This window comes from Homo sapiens, chromosome 2, assembly GCF_000001405.40.
Source record: "Homo sapiens chromosome 2, GRCh38.p14 Primary Assembly".
Taxonomy (NCBI): domain Eukaryota; kingdom Metazoa; phylum Chordata; class Mammalia; order Primates; family Hominidae; genus Homo; species Homo sapiens.
Window position 1 is genome coordinate 174,831,357 of NC_000002.12, and position 17,248 is coordinate 174,848,604.

The window sequence follows — 17,248 nt, forward strand, 5'->3', positions numbered from 1 at the left end:
TTGCACAGAACTTGCTTAGAATCATAAACAACCATATTAATGCTAGAACACAAACACAATTTCTGGTGTTGATGTTCTGTGCTGAGCTGAAATAGTGGCCCCTTACACAGAACCATCAATCTGAAACCCAAGAATCTGGATGTGGAAATATCAAAGTTCTCAAAGCAATCCTTTGATTATTATATGCTACAAGGTACAGATTGTATAATAATGATGAAACAATAAATATAACCATTAATTCAAAGACATTTTCCATTTCAAAATATGAGTATTTAGAGTATTATAAAATATATAATTTTAATGTTTAGGCTTCTTTTAAGTTTCAGAAGACAATTTCTTTTTGATTTCTTTTCCCCTGATAGTTTTGCCTCCAAACTGAATCATGCTCAAGGTTCAAAAATGTTAAATGCCATCACCTAAAACACTTCTACTTAGAAAGTAAGCTTCATTACTGAGATGAATGAGTTCGTATTCAAATATTAGTAAAAATCAACACTTTGAAATACCAGTCCCCTAAGGTTATATTATGTAGGTACAATAGGAAAATAAATAAGTAAATGGTTGTGCAATAAAAACCACTTACATTCCATAGCTGAGTGACAGAAAATCTCTATACCTACATTATAGATAGGTAACTGAACACTGACATACGGAAAACCCTCAGACCAGTCTACAATGTCTTGTGATCCACAATTCTTTGAAGCTAAGTCTGCATTAATATATTATTTCCACACAACCAGGTTTCAATTTCTTTTTGACTTGGTTATAAAAGTGTCATCTGAAGAAGTACTGTTAACATATATTACAATATGAATGCAAGTATTCCTATACTAAGAAAAAGATCTGACTAAAATGCACAGGAAGTTATTAAAAGTATGTAGTTAAAACCCTTTTTAAAATCCCAGTAAATTCTGGGATTTAAAAAATTCTGTTTTTCTTCTTTTTCACTGATTGCTGCTCTTACCTTTAATACTGCCTTTCCTTAAGTACTTGGTTTAATTGATTCTTCTTTTTCTAGTTTCTTAAGATGGAAGCTTAGCTCTTTGACTTAAGACCTTTTTTCTCCCTTTCTAAATATAAGCATTTAATGATATAAATTTCCTGATAAGTACTACTTTAGCCACATTCTATGAATTTTGATATGTTTTATTTTTCTTTTCAATCAGTTCAAAATATTTTCTAATGTATCTTGTGATTTCTTCTTCAACCCATGAGTTATTTAGCAGTATGTTATTTAATTTATAAGTATGTGGGAAATTTTTCAGATATCTGTTAGTGATTTCAAATTTAATTCTGTTGTGGTTGGAGGATATGCTTTGTATGACTTTAACCCTTCTACATTTATTGATACAGTCATGTGTCACTTAATGATAGGGACACTCTCTGAGAAATGCTTCATTAGGTGAACATTATAGAGTGTACTTACACAAAATCTACATGGTAAAACCTATTATGTACTAGACCTAATGGTCTAGCCTATAGATCCTAGGCTACAAACCTGTACAGCATGTTACTGTACTGAATATGTAACATTAACACCATGGTATTTGTGTATCTAAATGTATCTAAACATAGAAAAGACAGGGTAAAAATAAGGTATTATACTCTTATGGGACCACTGTCATAACTGTGGTCAGTTGTTGACTGAAACAGTTATATGACACATGGTTATATTTGTCTTATGGTCCAGAATATTATGTATCTTGGTGAATCTTCCAGTTCACTTGAAAAGTATGTGTATCCTGCTGTTGTTGAGTGGAGTACTCTATAAATATCAGTTAGGTCAAATTGGTTGATACTGTTCTTCAAGTCTTCTATACTCTTACTAATTTTCTGTATATTCTGTCTATTTCACCCTCACCTCAGTTGCTGCTTTATGTATTTTGCACCTGTTATTAGGTACATATAAATTTTAAACTGTTATATCTTCTTGATTAATTTTACATTCTTCATTCCCAATAATATTCCTTGTTCAAAAATTGTGTTTAAAAAAGTACAGTCACTCCAATTTTCTTTGAATTATTGTCTACATATACATATTATTTGCTAGATATAGAATTCTAGGTTAATGTTTCTTTTCCTTCAGTTCTTTGAAGATGTCGCTCCACTGTCTTGCATAATTTCTGATGAGAATTTTGCTTTTTCTTTCACTTCTCTCTGTGCCCTTTATATTTAATGTGGGTTTCCTGTACACAGCATATCACTGGATCTTGCTTTTTTGTCCAACCTGACAATCTCTGCCTTTTAATGGTGTGTTTGAGTCATTTTCATTTAATGTAACTATCAACCTGTTTTCTATGCATTCCATTTGTCCTTTATTCCTTTTTTTATGTTTTATACTCTGAATTAACTGCATATTTCTTATGACTCCATTTATCTCCACTGTTAGTTTAACTATGTCAATTTTAGTTTTATTCTAAGGTCTAGAACATACACATCTTTTTTTTTTTTTTTTGACAGGGTCTCACTCTGTCACCCAGGTTGGAGTGCAGTGGCACAATCATAGCTCACTGCAGCCTCACACTCCTGGACTCAAGTGATCCTCTCACCTCAGCCTCTTACGCAGTGGGAACCACAGGCATGTGCCACCACACCCAGCTAATTTTGTCTCTTTCTCTTTTCTTTTCTAAATAGAGATGGAGTCTTGCCACGTGCCTCAGGCTAGTCTCAAACCCCAGGGCTCAAACTGTCCTCCTGCCTCAGCCTTCCAGAGTGCTGGAATTACAGGCGTGAGCCACCATGCCCAGTCTACAATATACACCTTTAACTTACAGTCTACCTCCAAATAGTATACCACTTTATGTAATGCCCAAGAATCCTATACATGAATATACTTCCACTTCCCCCATCCTCTACTCTACATTACTGTTGTCATACATTTTGCTTGTATAAACTACATAATATATTACCATTTTTGCCTTAAAGAGTCAACTATCTTTTAAAGATACTAAGTCAGGAAAAATATCTTTTAAAGTTACCCATGCTTACTATTACTTCTAGTGTTCTTTATTCCTTTGTGTAGTTCTAAATTTCCACCTGGTATCATTTTCTTTCTTAAAAAGTTACTGTAATATTCTTGTAGTACCAGTCTCCTAGGGATGAATTCACTCAGCTTTTGTTTGTTTAAAAAAATAAATATTTTCTCTTCATCTCTGAAAGATATATTTGCTAAATATAGGATTCAAGGTTAATAGATTTCTTTTCCTTCAGTCCTTTGAAGATGTCACTCCATTGTCTTGCATAGTTTTTGATGAGAATTTTGCTGCCATTCTTTATTCATTTTTATGTAATGTGCATCCCCCCAACTGCTTTTAAAAAAAACTTTGTAAGATGTGTGAGTACCAGTGAAAAAGGAAAATAATTTGTTTCCTCAAAGTTGACATATCTGTCCTAACTAAAATAATCCTCGAAGATATTAACAGAGAAGATAGTAGTATAAAAATAATTTATATTCTTTTAAACAAATGTGCATTGTATTCTTGAGTGTGAGTATGCACATTTAAGATTCTATAAAACCACAAAACTATAAACACATTATGAAGCTGAAATGTGAAAATAAAACTTAAGAGAAACCAAACGTATGTATAATTTCTAGATCTGAGAGACATCCTCTGTACATTACGTGTGGGATGAACAACCTCAATTCTTAGGCTGAGGCAAAGTATGGATTCTCCTTGACTTATGATGGGGTTACATGTCAATAAACCCACCATAAGTTGAAAATATCATAAGTTGAGAGTGGGGTTTCTACTTTTGATATTTTCAATTTATGATGAATTTATCCAGATGTAATCCAATCCTAAATCCAGGACTGTACTGAATGAATATTGCTTTCAGACCATCATAAGGTCAAAAATCATAAGCTGAGCCATTGTAAGCCAGGGGCCTTCGGTATCACTTTACAGTGAAAACTGTTCTTTCCCCAAATTTTCTCACTCTCTCTGGCTGCTTTTACAATTTTCTCCTTAACACTGGTTTTCAGCAATTTATGATATGCCTTGATGTTGCTTTCACCATATTTTTTTCTGTTTAGTGTTTAGTGTTCACTGCATTTTTGGATCTGTGACTTTTCATCAAATTTATACAATTTTTGGTCACTATAGCTTTAAATAATTGCTCTGTCTCCTGGTTTCCCATCACTGTTCCTTCTGTGACCCAAATTACACTTATGTTAAGACTGCTTGCTATTGTCCCACTGGTCACTGATGTTGTGTTCATTTTTTTTTTTTTTTTAATTCTCTGTTCTTCATCTTGGATATTTTGTATTGTATTTTCTGGTTTACCAATCTTTTCTTCTGTGGTATCTAATATGCTGTTAATATAATCCAGTGTATTTTTCATTTCAGATATACTTTTCACCTCTAGAGATTCAATTTGGATTTTTAAAGACAGCTTCCATTTCTTTCCTCACTACAACCTTTAGTCTACTGTTAATTTTGGTCACAGTACTAAGATGATACCCTCTTGAAGAGTCTTAACCAATGCTCCATGTGTTGTGACTTCTTTCTGTTTCTACTAGTGGGCAGAATGAGTCTTCAGTGAGTTTCAGCCATTGTTTAGCCTATTGCTTTCTGGTGGTTTCCCAATAGTTTCTTCCCACATATATGCAGATAAGTCATCAGTAAAAGACTCAAGAAGGCTCCTCGGCAGATCTCCAGAATGCCTTTTGTGTGCAGCTCTGTCTCCTCAGGCAGTCTCTGCCCCATACATTTGAGCTGCTTTGCACCTCCCCCACGACCCCACCCTAATCTCTTTGTCCTTCACTGGGGTAGACCACAAGACTCTGCTTGGACTCCCCCTCCATGTGCTGTGGCCTGGAAACTGCCTCCAAGCAGTAAGAGTGATCTTAAGAATCATTTTGTTTGTGTTCCTTCTTTCAGTTGTCACAGTTCTATACTACCTATTGATCAATGTCTGGCTGTGGTTTTTATATACTTTTTCTGGTTTGCTAGTTGTTTAAGATGGGAAGGTAAATGTAGTTCTTCCATCATGACCAAAAGTAGAAATTTAGTTTATATTATTGGTTCTACTGATTCGTTCATGTGAACGCCAACCAGTGACTTTAATAGGCTTCAGTTTCTACACATGTAAAATAAGATTAACTTAATCAGTAATTTTCAACCCCCTTTATACAGACTGAACTGCTTCAGGATTCTTTTGTCATCCATGTTTCATGAGCACATCTCACCCAGCAAAGTGTTACATTAACACTGTCATATTCAGTAGGCTGTTCACTAAGATCTTGCAATAGGTGATTTCATTTGACATTTAATCTTGTAGAGGGCACTGCTTATTTTTCAGTACACAGAACAAGTTCTTATTTTTCATAAAAGCTCCCAATCCATGTGAATCGTATAGAGCTGACCTCTTCCCCAGCTCCAGGGGAAGACCTGGATCTAAGCCAGTACATTCCCTTCTCCTGACTGGAGCTACTGGTGCAGAGATGAGCATATGATATAATTGGTCAATGACTGCCATGCCCAGAACCTTTTTTCAAACAGTCTGTCTTTGAGGCTGACTAGAATCTGGGAGGATACAGAGCTGAAGACTTTGACAGTCATCTTGTCACCAGAGGGAGCCTAAAAATGAAGAAAGAGTTGGGAAACAGGGTTCTGGTGGCATTTTAAGCCCCTAAGTCAAAGGATACCTTCAATTAATGCTGGACTTTTTCTACTATGTGACACAACAAATTCCCTTTTTTCTTAGTCCAGTGTGGGCTGGGTTTTCTGACACTTGCAGTAAAAGTCTCTCAACTGTTCCATCAAATAGTAAATATATTCATGGTAACAGATTAAGAAAAACACACTGAAGTAATACAATTGCGGAGTAATGAGCTGTAACAGCAACCATCAAAGCAAATTAGCACACCCCCTAGAGATGGACTTCTCTTTAAGAACAAGGGCATGTGTACCAGGCAGAGCACAAGCAGAGATCAGGGTTGTGTCACATGCAAGAGGTGAAGCTCCAAACAAAGGTAGTTCTAAAAAGAGAAACAGAGAATATGATATTTTAGGCCTGATTTGGGCAAATCCATTCACATGGATAGCCAAAACGTCACCTCTAATACAAAAGACTGGAGGATATCACCTAATGTGACAACAAGCCTCTGACTACCATGACCTAAAAATAGATGTGTTCTTTTAATTTTTAAGTCTGGATAATACCTTACAAAACACGCCAGTTCTATTTTTGCTCCCCAAAGAACATAAAAATATAGAAAATAAGCAGCTGATGATATGGTGGTTCTTCAACTGTTGGGCTACTGGCCTTTTCCTTTATAGTTTTCCTATTTTGTAACCAGAAGAATCTCAAGATAATTTAAGAAGAGGGATTAGAAAACTGGAAAAAAAAATCTATTAGTATGTTGCTTGTCAAAAAAATAATTTACAGTGGTTTTCAGCTACCAGAAGTTTTTGTGTAGTAAAAATATTTAAAAAGAAAAACCATTGCTTGTCACGTTTTCATTTATTTTTTAACCTATATTCCACTTCCTTTGGTGTATATACACATCTCTTTTTCTACTTTCTATCCTTTGGGCTATTTGATGGAGGCAACAATATTTTTGTGTCATGCACTATTACATAACAAATGATGAACACCAACTAATGATACTAAGTTTACTGAGATATGGAGTACTTGACAACATAGACAATAATTGAAGCAAGATGATAAGACATGTACGTATTCTTTAGGTACATGCTTTAACCGTCCTACTAACAGTCATGGTAAACCTCACTCTTTTTTTTTTCTTTTTTGAGATGGAGTTTGCTCTTGTTGCCCAGGCTGGAGTGCAATGGCACGATCTTGGCTCATTGCAACCTCCGCCTCCCAGGTTTAAGCAATTCTTCTGCCTCAGCCTCCCAAGTAGCTGGGATTACAGGCATGCACCATCACGCCCGGCTAATTTTGTATTTTTAGTAGAGACAAGGTTTCTCCATGTTGGTCAGGCTGGTCTTGAACTCCTGACCTCAGGTGATCCACCCACCTCGGCCTCCCAAAGTGCTGGGATTACAGGAATGAGCCACTGCGCCCAGCCAAACCTCACTCTTAATAAGACTTTGTCCTATAGGGAATGTTGACACAGTGGGTCACAAAAAAGATGAAGTATGATAGCACATTTTGTCAGTTAAACAAGGCTTGAAACACAGAGACATGAAATATTACATATGGTATTTCTCCTATTAACTTACAAAATAAGCAAAAGAGAATTAAGACCCAATCCTCAGTTAAATCTGGAAGGGGTGAGTGAATATAAGATAGAAGAGATTACGAGAAGGGGCTTTAGAGTACCAACATGTCTCAAACGGGGGAAAAACCAACTCCTGAAGGTTGGACTGTTGTATGAACATGTAAACTGAAATATTAAGAATTTTACAGGCCAGGTGCAGTGGTTCATGCCTGTAATCCCAGCACTTTGGGAGGCTGAGGTGGGCAGATCACCTGAGGTCAGGAGTTCAAGACCAGCCTGACCAACATGGCGAAACCCCATCTCTATTAAAAACACAAAAATGTGGTGTGTGTTTGGTGGTGGGCACCTGTAATCCCAGCTACTAGGGAGGCTGAGACAGGAGAATAGCTTGAACCCAGGAGGCGGAAGTTGCAGTGAGCTGAGATTGTGCCACTGCACTCCAGCCTCGGCGACAGAGTGAGACTCTGTCTTAAAAAAAAAAAAAAATTTAGAAGAAGTGACAATTATTTCATTTTTAATTGATAAATAAAAATTATATTTACTGTGTACAACATGTTTTGAAATGCAAATACATTGTGAAATGGCTAAATTGAGCTAATTAATGTAAGCATTACCTCACATATTTTTTGTAGTGAGAACACTTAAAATCTACTCTCAGAGAGATTTTATTCTCAATGTATTCTTATACATTGTTATTAACTGTAAGAGGTGACTTTTAAAAATTGCGTGTTTTTCCTATGCGTTTATATCCTTAAAGAAAGTATGGTATATATATACAATAGAATATTTATTCAGCCTTAATAAAGGAAATCCTGCCGTATATGACACCATGAGATGAACCTGGAGGACATGATGTTAAGTGAAATAAGTCAGTCACAGAAGGACAAATATTGCATGATTCCACTTATATGAGGTATCTATAATAATCAAACTCAGAATAGAAGAGTGGCTGCTGTTCAATGCATATAAAGTTTCAGTTATAATAGATTGAGTATCTTCTAGAAACTTGTGAGCAACACGATGCCTTTACTTAACAATACTGTGTTGTGCACTTAAAGATTTTTTTTTTTTTTTTTGACATAGGGTCTTGCTCTATCGTCCAGGCCATATTGCAGTGGCACAATCACAGCTCACAGCAGCCTCGATTTCCTGGGCCCCAGTGATCCTCTCACCTCAGCCTTTTGAGTAGCTAGGACTACAGGCATGTGCCACCACGCCCAGCTAAGTTTTGTATTTTTGATAGAAACAGAGTTTTGCCATGTTGCCTAAGCTGGTCTCAAACTCCTAGGCTCAAGTGATCTGCCTATCTCAGCCTCTCAAAGTGCTGGGATTATAGGCATAAGCCACTGCACCTGGCCTTACTTAAATATTTAAGAGGGTAGATCTCATGTGACATGTTCTTATCACACACAAAAAAAAATCTCTCTCCAAAGTTTAAACTACCCTCTGTCGAATTTTACTCTGCATACTCACTTCTGACTGTCATTCTGTTTCAGGCAGAGATGTCATTTGTATTTGTATATGAAATATTGAACCATGAGGAATATGGCATTATTATACATATGTGGCACATAAAATTAAAGGTATTTTGCCAGTGTTTATGCATAAAACCATTCTTTTTTTTTTTTTTTTTTTTTTTTTGAGATGGGGTCCTGCTCTGTCTCCCAGGCTGGAGTGCAGTGGTGTGTTCACAGCTCACTGCAACCTCTATCTCCTGGCTCAAGTGATCTCACCTCAGCCTCCTAAGTAGCTGAAACCACAGGTGCACAATATCATACCCAGCTAATGTTTTAAATTTTTTGTAAAGACAAGGTCTCTCTATGTTGCCCAGGCTGGTCTTAAACTCCTGGGCTCAAGCAATCCTCCTGACTTGGCCTCCCAAAGTGTAGGGATTACAGGCATGAGCCACTGTGCCTGGCCCCAAACCCTTCCTATGACCTTCTCATCATTCTCATTATATTGACATTTGCTTTCTTTTCAGTCAGTTTGCATATATCCAGCAGTCAAGGACCGTACATTACATATTACTGTGTCTCCTCCCATGTCTAACAGAGTGGTCTGCACACAACAGCTGCTTGATAAATACTTGAGGGATGAGCAAGGAGGAAACGGAGCTAGGAAAGCCTGGAGAGTTTTATTTTAGGTTAGAGAATACTGTGGGCAAGATGTTTCGACACTGTTAAGGGATTTTTCTTTGAAAAGATTGAGTTAGTATGTTCAACAGCAATTTTTCATACATATATTGAAAGAGCCAATCTTTTCAGGGGCCCACATGGACATGGAACAAGAGGCTAGAAAGGAATGAGGAAGACAAAACATGTCTTCCTCATTTAAAACATTTAAAAAAGATATAGTAGAAAGCTTGAATGGAAGAGACAAAAAACATACTGATAAGTAATTTGTGTCAGCGAGGCAGTATAATACAGAGATGCCAAATTTGGAACTTGGGGAATAAAGACAGATTATAAAACATCTCCAGAATAAAGGGCCATGGTCTGTGAGAATAATATGGGTTTCTCTGAAGTATAGCAATTTAAATTCTCTAGTCCCATAAGATAGCTACAAAGAAGTATATGCAACTATGTGCAAACCAACAAGAACTTTGTGAAATGTTTCTTTTCGGATTATTAGTGGCAGGTAGTAACCTTTCTGATAACCTTAAGGATCTGAATGACTTGTACTCGGGGTGTCATACCAGTTCCCCAGCCAGCATGACAAACCATAAGGCCAGGCAGGGTGAGGTTGAGAGGGCCACCGTGCTGAGGGGCAGTGCACAGGTTCTGTGGTCCTCCTCACCAGCAGCATTGGCAGAAGTGGAAAGCAGAGCAGTGGCTGTCATTTTTGGCTTCTGCAGCATCAGATATGTACTATAATAGGCAGCAACAGAAATACAATGTTTACAGGGACTTTAAAGATGATTCTGACCAATTTCCTAGTTTCTCTTCATCAGTCCTCTACATGTCCGATTGCCTTAGGCAGACAGAACCTATGCTACATACTGATCTGCGCTATTTTTGTCTTCTCTTGCAAGTGGCCCACATTGAGAACTGGGGAAAGAGTGTGTGTGTGTGCATGTGTACAACAGAAATACATATAATTCCACTTAATTTCTTTCTTGGAGAAATTCCAAGTAAGAAATTATTTAAAATTATTTAAATTTCCAAGTAAAATTATTTAAAGGAATAATTCACATTATTCCTTTAAAATGTTTATGTTGGACACTCCTTGTTCATATCCACAGAAGAGGCAATGATGAGAGACATTATTGCAGAAGCATAATGAAGCATTCTAGATTGTCATTTCCCTTTTGTAATATTGCATTTACCTTCATTTACAATACCATTAATTCAAAACACTATTCAAATTCCTGAGCATTTAAAATATGTACACAGATTCTCTAGTCAATATCAGATAACATGATGGTATCTTGGGTTTTATTTCATTTTGAAAACTCACATAAATCTAATTAAAAGAAAACATTGTAACAATACAGATCTTAAGACCAATAGAAGACTCTATTTTTGTGTTAATTTCCTGCTGTCATGAGAAGAGGTTTTCAAGTAACAACAACCAAAGGTCCCCCGCATGTCACACTGTGTACTCATTTAGTCATTTATCAAATGCTTCTTGAGCATCTGCTAGTTACAGGCATTTTACTAGACATCGGGAAAGGGCAAGGAAGAATGGAGGGAGGCAAGGTGGTGGTGTGAGGGTTGGTGGGGATAATATGAAAGAGGTGATAGACACTGTTTCTGAATACGACATTTCACTGCTGTTAATATAAAGTTTTAAATATTCTTTCATATATAGTTAATTTTAGTTCCTTTTCAAATCAACGTATTGAAAATTTGTCTCCATAGGAACTTCAATAAAATTTTAATGAAAAATGGAATACTTGTAATAAATCTAATGGTTCACAATACACTATAATTAAGTCCGAGAATTTTAGAGCTGTAAGAGAACCCTTAGACCATGTGGTTTAAAACTTCACAGTTTATATTAAAATTATTATTTGTTCATTCATTTTGTATTAATTTTATTATAAATGTGAACCAAATGAAGACCAAAGGGGGCTTGGATTTGCCCACGTCCTCGGGAGGAAAGGAAAGACTACCCTCAGCAAGAGTGTCGGCCACTGCCGCCCTTCAGTTCACCAGACAGCACAGTGTCCAGTCTGTTGGCTAGGATTGCTGGGTTCAGTATGATCTCTTTTTCCTAGTAGGTCTTGAATCAGTAATTTTATTAACTATTATAAGGTTCATGTTACAGTGTTATTTTAATTGCAATATCAATTCACATTTCAGGATTCACTGTTTGCCTGTTATCTTGGCAACACTAAATCTATTAATACAATATCTTATATCTTTCATTTACATGCAGACTGCAAGTACCTGAAATGAAAATCAACAACTAATTCAAGACTACCTTAAAAAATTAAACTCATATTTTTAGTATCTACTCCCTATAATTCTTAATGTTGTTTTCTTTTAATTACTTAATTTGCCTAAGTAGCCTAGCTTCTGTCGTTATTATAATATTGTATCTGCTCTTGATTTTATTTTATAGAGCTATCTGAATTAAGCAACAAACCAGATGAAACATTTAACAGTTTAATTTGAAAAGAGTAAAATAAATATAGAGGATTTCACTGCATTCTGTAGTGCATGAAAAATGTAGCTTTTATTATTTATTTATTTATTTATTTATTTTTGAGACGGAGTTTTGCTGTTGTTGCCCAGGCTGGAGTTCAGTGATGTGATCTCGGCTCACTGCAACCTCTGCCTCCTGGGTTCAAGCGATTGTCCTGCCTCAGCCTCCAGAGGAGCTGGGACTACAGTCACGTGCCACCACACCCGGCTAATTTTGTATTTTTAGTAGAGACAGGGTTTCCCCATATTGGCTAAGATGTTCTCAATCTCCTGACCTTTCGATCTGCCCACCTCGGCCTCCCAAAGTGCTGGGATTACAGGCATGAGCCACTGTGCCTGGCCAAATGTAGCTATTCTTATGCAACATCTAACTCTGCCTGACAACTAGGCACAGTCCCCACGATCATGCTAAGGTTTTCAATCACATCATAATCTCTGCAACTGGACAGGAATAAGAGGATTCAGATGAACCCTTAAGTATAAATAAATGTCAGTATAGATTCAGAAAAAAAAAAAAACCCACTTAGGGGTATTTGTAGTAACAAAAATAGTGGCTACCATGTATCTACATGTACTGGGAACTCAATTTTTCCGATGTAGAGAGAGATTAAGCAATTGACCCAAGGTGGTGCATATAATAAGCAAGCTCCTGAGGGCAAAGGCTGGATCTTATTTATCATTTTACCCAGAAAGCCTCAGAATGCATGGCACAATCATTGCTGGAAGGGTGCCTGAGTTTTATTTTTAATGTTAGAGTTTGTTTTGTTCTCTCTCTTTCTCTGTGTGTGTGTGTGTGTGTTGTATGTTGTATTAGGATGAGGTAGCTCTTAAAATAAGAGGTTGATCCAGGGGACAATTACAATTATTTTCTAATTGATTTAGATAACTTATAGTGTAATAGTTTTTAGAGGATTTGGTGCATTTATCTGTAAAATAACCTCCCTAAGGGATATAACTATCCTTCTTGTGATAGATGCTTTCTCAAATCCTTATAAGTAACAATAGAAAAAAAAAAAAAGAGACCATGTTACATAACATAGCAAAAGGGAAGCCTTCCTGTTTTATTCTACTAAAAAAACCCCAAACCCCAAAAACAAACGCCTGTCTGTAGGCTGAAGTTAGGTCCAGTTGGTTTATTTGGCTTTCACCTCAGTGAGTGCTTTCACCAAAGGTAGAAGGCATTCTTGGCTTCACTCCCTGAAATAAGGTTTGACAGCTGTTCGATTCCACAGAGCAGTATTACATAACAAGGCAGTTCAAGAAGCAAAAAAGAAAACCACCTTGAAATGAGGCTTTGGTGAGTGGGCCCGTGGTTATACAGAATACACTTTTACCACCATAATGACAAGGATACATGAATGATTATCGTCATGGAAATGCTACGGTTTTTCCCCACACAAATTTCTGAACTGTACATACATAGATGTGTATATCACAATCAGTGACCTTCTAAGCGAGCGTCTGTGTGGGAGAGAACTGCACCTGCCACAGAGTCTGGGATGTTCTTGGAAGTCAAGTATGACTTTCCTCCTTTCTTATTTTTTATAGTGCCACCCCACAGAAACATTTTTAAATAACAGAGAGTAACTTCAATGGAAAGAGTCAATTCCGAGATTTCTGACCTTATTAGCAACTCTAAATAATATGTAATGCAACTCATTGTCTAAAATGAACTCTTTCTTGAGCATAAATACTCTAAGAACAAGTCCAAGCTGGTTTTCATTATTTTTCAGCTCCAGAGAAGGAAGAAGCTTTCCATTTTTTAAGGCTTAAAAAAAACACCCAAGTATCTTTAAAGCAGTTTAGATACCAAGGTAAGAGTTACAGTTGATGGCAGAGTCAGAACTTTCCAGCTGTGTAGAATTTATTCATTAAAGCCATGTGTTAAAATTGAGAAACAACTGGAAGATACAAACACAAAAAGAGTTTGTTTATGCAAATTCTTGAATAGACCTCCTAGTTGCTCTTAATCAATATTGATAAAAAGCATGTATAATGAACTTGACCTAGCACTCAAATGGCATTCTTAGTAGGTTTTTGCTGTTTTTGCTGAACAAATCAGAGTACATCTTTGGAGATATATTTAAGATCTCAGCTATTTCTAAACAGTGTACATACAATTTCCTCTTTATTAGTAACCCAAAGACTTCTTTTTTGACATAACTTCATATTGGCAAAAGGATTTATTTGGGGTCATTTTCCTGATAAAAATCCTGTTAGATCAGGTTGTATATCATGCAAAAAGAAACTGAGGCCTAGAAGCCTGAATGTATTGCTTAGGTTCCTAAATGAAAGATGTAGTGAATGCTAGATACACATATGATACCTCTTTTCTATCCGGTATTTAATCTACTAAGTTGCCTCTATTTCATTTTAAATCAAGATATTGGTTGAAAGGTAAGGTCCTTAATATGTTTAAAGAGGAAGAAGAAAACGTTATTTAGTTTATTTTAAAATATTAGCAATTTTTACATAGCCCACATATTTAAGAAACATAATTTTATTAGGTAATTTCTCCTTCATCCCAAAATGATCTGAAGATCACAAAAACCTATTCCTCACTATGGAAAATGCAGAGCATATGGGTGGGGGGGGGGGTGTTGGTATTTAGTGTTTGAGTAAAATAAATACTGGTGTTAAAAATCAGAATAAATTGCAAATGTGGAATGAAATTATCTATTTCAGAGCCTGGTGCATTATAGGTGCTGAATAAATGTTGAATAAATAAATAAATGAAAGATCATGATTTCCAGCTTTATCACATTTTGAAACCAAATTATTCCCTTTCTAAAATAAAACCTAATGATACTTTGTCTAAACTAAGAACATTCATGTCTCAAGAACCGCATCACAAAGTTGTCTAACTATTGGGAAGTTACTATAGAAATGCCAGTGCATCTACCTATTAAATGTAACTGGGTCTACTTATGCACCACCTCACGTTGTTTAATCTCTGAATTAGATTGCAAAGGACAGAAATTCAAGGCCTTATATCATGCTATAAATACAGACTAGATCTACATACAGCTTGAATCAACACACATATCACCTTGAAAGAAAATTCAAGTACAGTTGATAAACCACATTAACACAATAATTAAAAACTACACATACGCATACATGGTGAAAGCAAATACTCAAAAAGTGAGGAGAAGCTGCTAGTGTCAGCAGCATCAACAGTCCCATGGTAGCCATCCTCCTTTCATCATGGTCAATTCATTAACAGGGGAGAAAAGACAGAAACTATGAGAAATGCAAACCATCTGCTCAATCCAGATGCAACAGCACATGCCTCTTATATCCAAAGCTTTTTACCAGAAACACAGATCTAATCCTCTCATAAAATCTCCAACAGAGGTATTCAGACACATTTGTATCACAAATAAAAACAATGCCAAAATCATCATTAACTGAGACCTTTTAAATATCAGTCAAGACTTTTACCAGTGAGTACACATTGATAAAACAATATTAGAACAGCATTAGAGAAAAACAGGGTTGGATTTCTATTAGCCTTATTCAGCTATTCCTCAAGTAAAATCAGGCTGAAAACATCTCACTCCTTAAATAGCAAGAACATTTTAGTCAAGTCATCCTAGTTTTAAAAAGACATAAGATATTCCTTTAATATTATATATTTCAAGTAATATGCATTTCTTAAAAGACTAAAAGCAAATATTCTTACCTTGAAATTGTGAATCTTTTCATATTTTGGAATTTGCTCGTTTTCTTTCAGAGTTGCTCTTCTAACAAGTGATGTCAACTGCGAATAAGCAAAGAGTTTCAGAGGTTGCCAGATTGTCACAGACGACTTTGGAGAACCCAGTTTCATTCCCAAGGCTGCTATCAATAAATCTTGCTGACGGCCCTCTTGTTTTGATTTGTGAACTGCAGCCCTATTAGTTTTCCTCCCTGACCAAGACTCTTTGGATGGCATTTTGGAATTCACAAGGAAAGAAAACCTATAGTGGTCTATGTCTGTCGATGATATCTATTCAGCTAACACATGAGCATTCTGCCAGGCAGCACAGAACCCTAACCTACAGAGAGCTGCAGAGAAACACCACGGAGAGGTGGAGGAGGAGGATGAAGCACTTCTTAAACAGAGGTCGACTAACCAGCAAATTCTTCTTTCTTCCTTTTTTTTTCTTAAAGGGATCTATATTCTAGCTTCTAAAAACTTGAGTCTGAACAGAAATAAAAAGAAAGAGTCGATGCTAACATACAAAACACTCAGCATCTCTCTTTATCATTTTTTAAAAGGCATGCAATTTTGACAAATGATACATTTCTAAAAGCTTTCTTCTCTATTCAAGATATTAATGTCCATTCTGAATGAAAGATGCCTACATACTGCCTGCAATCAGTTTCTAGCAACAGACACCCTATGAAGCCCCTAGCAGGGAAGGTGGGGGGAAGGGAGGGATTTCACAAGGAAGGCTGCATTAGATTGGCCACCGTAAGAAAGGAGATAACCAATGAAAATCAAGCAACAGTATTTAAGTACTGTATTCCTAAACTCACTCTGTCTCTGTTTCTCCCTCCTCTCATGTAAGTAAGTTTCTTGCTGGCTCAAGGCAAAAAAAAAAAAAAAAAAAAAAAAAAAATCAGTGGGAAGGTAATGAGAAATGAATGAGTCATGCATTATTGCAAAATGGAATTTTTTTAACCTATTAAAAGCAGAGGAAAATTAACATACATACAGCACTAGGTTTTAAAAATAATGCAGCACCACTGCCAGGTAAATTATGAAAGGCTAATCTGTATCCTTTGCTCATTATGGACTGAGGTTAGCTAACCAAAACCCAATTTTATTAAAGACAAGGAAAAACTGGTGAGTATTTTGATGAAAGATAAAAGAAGTTTAACTAGGTATCATACTATTTTCATGCAGAACAAGGAGCATGCACATCACATTGCTAACAGCTTGCAGTGGTCAGTTTTGTCTTTGTATTATGAGTAGTTTTGTTGTGGGCTACACTTACATAGAAGAAACCATTATTTTAATTCTCTAGTCTCAACATTTTTTTTATTCAGAGAGCTTGAGGCCAGGTCATAGTGGAAGCCAGTTGGGAATAATTCCTTATTTGCACAGATCTCAATTATAGTGTAACTACTTATAGGACCCATATACTTTTTGTTTGCTGGTGTAGAAACGGGGTGGCTAGGTGAGAGACTTAGCACAACTTGACTTAGGAGCAATACCTACATTTTTTCACTAAGGTGCTACAGGATGCTTACATTTCCCATTTTGGTTCCCTAAGTACGTCCTATCATCTGTTTCTCATGCTATAATAATTAAGTTAAACCAATTATGCCAATGTTACACTGTATTTAAAGCATCTAAAATTCTATGTATTTAAATGGATTCAGTATATTTGTAGTGTAAATACTTTAATCTCAGATTTCA

At 36.2% G+C, this 17,248-nt stretch overlaps 1 protein-coding gene across 6 annotated transcripts in view; it reads right to left on the reverse strand.

The window, feature by feature from the left end:
- The window catches only part of CHN1 (chimerin 1), a 206,573-nt gene that overhangs the window by 32,548 nt on the left and 156,777 nt on the right, over positions 1–17,248 (reverse strand). For 4 of the 6 annotated variants that reach the window (NR_038133.2, NM_001822.7, NM_001371513.1 and 1 more), the window contains one exon: positions 15,524–15,601. The exons of 1 other annotated variant lie outside the window; for it this stretch is intronic. Coding sequence is in view for 4 of the 5 variants with exons in the window: in NM_001822.7 (NP_001813.1) it covers positions 15,524–15,601 (78 nt within the window). In the remaining variant the exon portion in view is untranslated. Of the gene's footprint in view, positions 1–15,523; positions 16,200–17,248 lie in introns of those variants that run through there. One more of the 6 variants, NM_001206602.2, reaches the window with a different exon arrangement.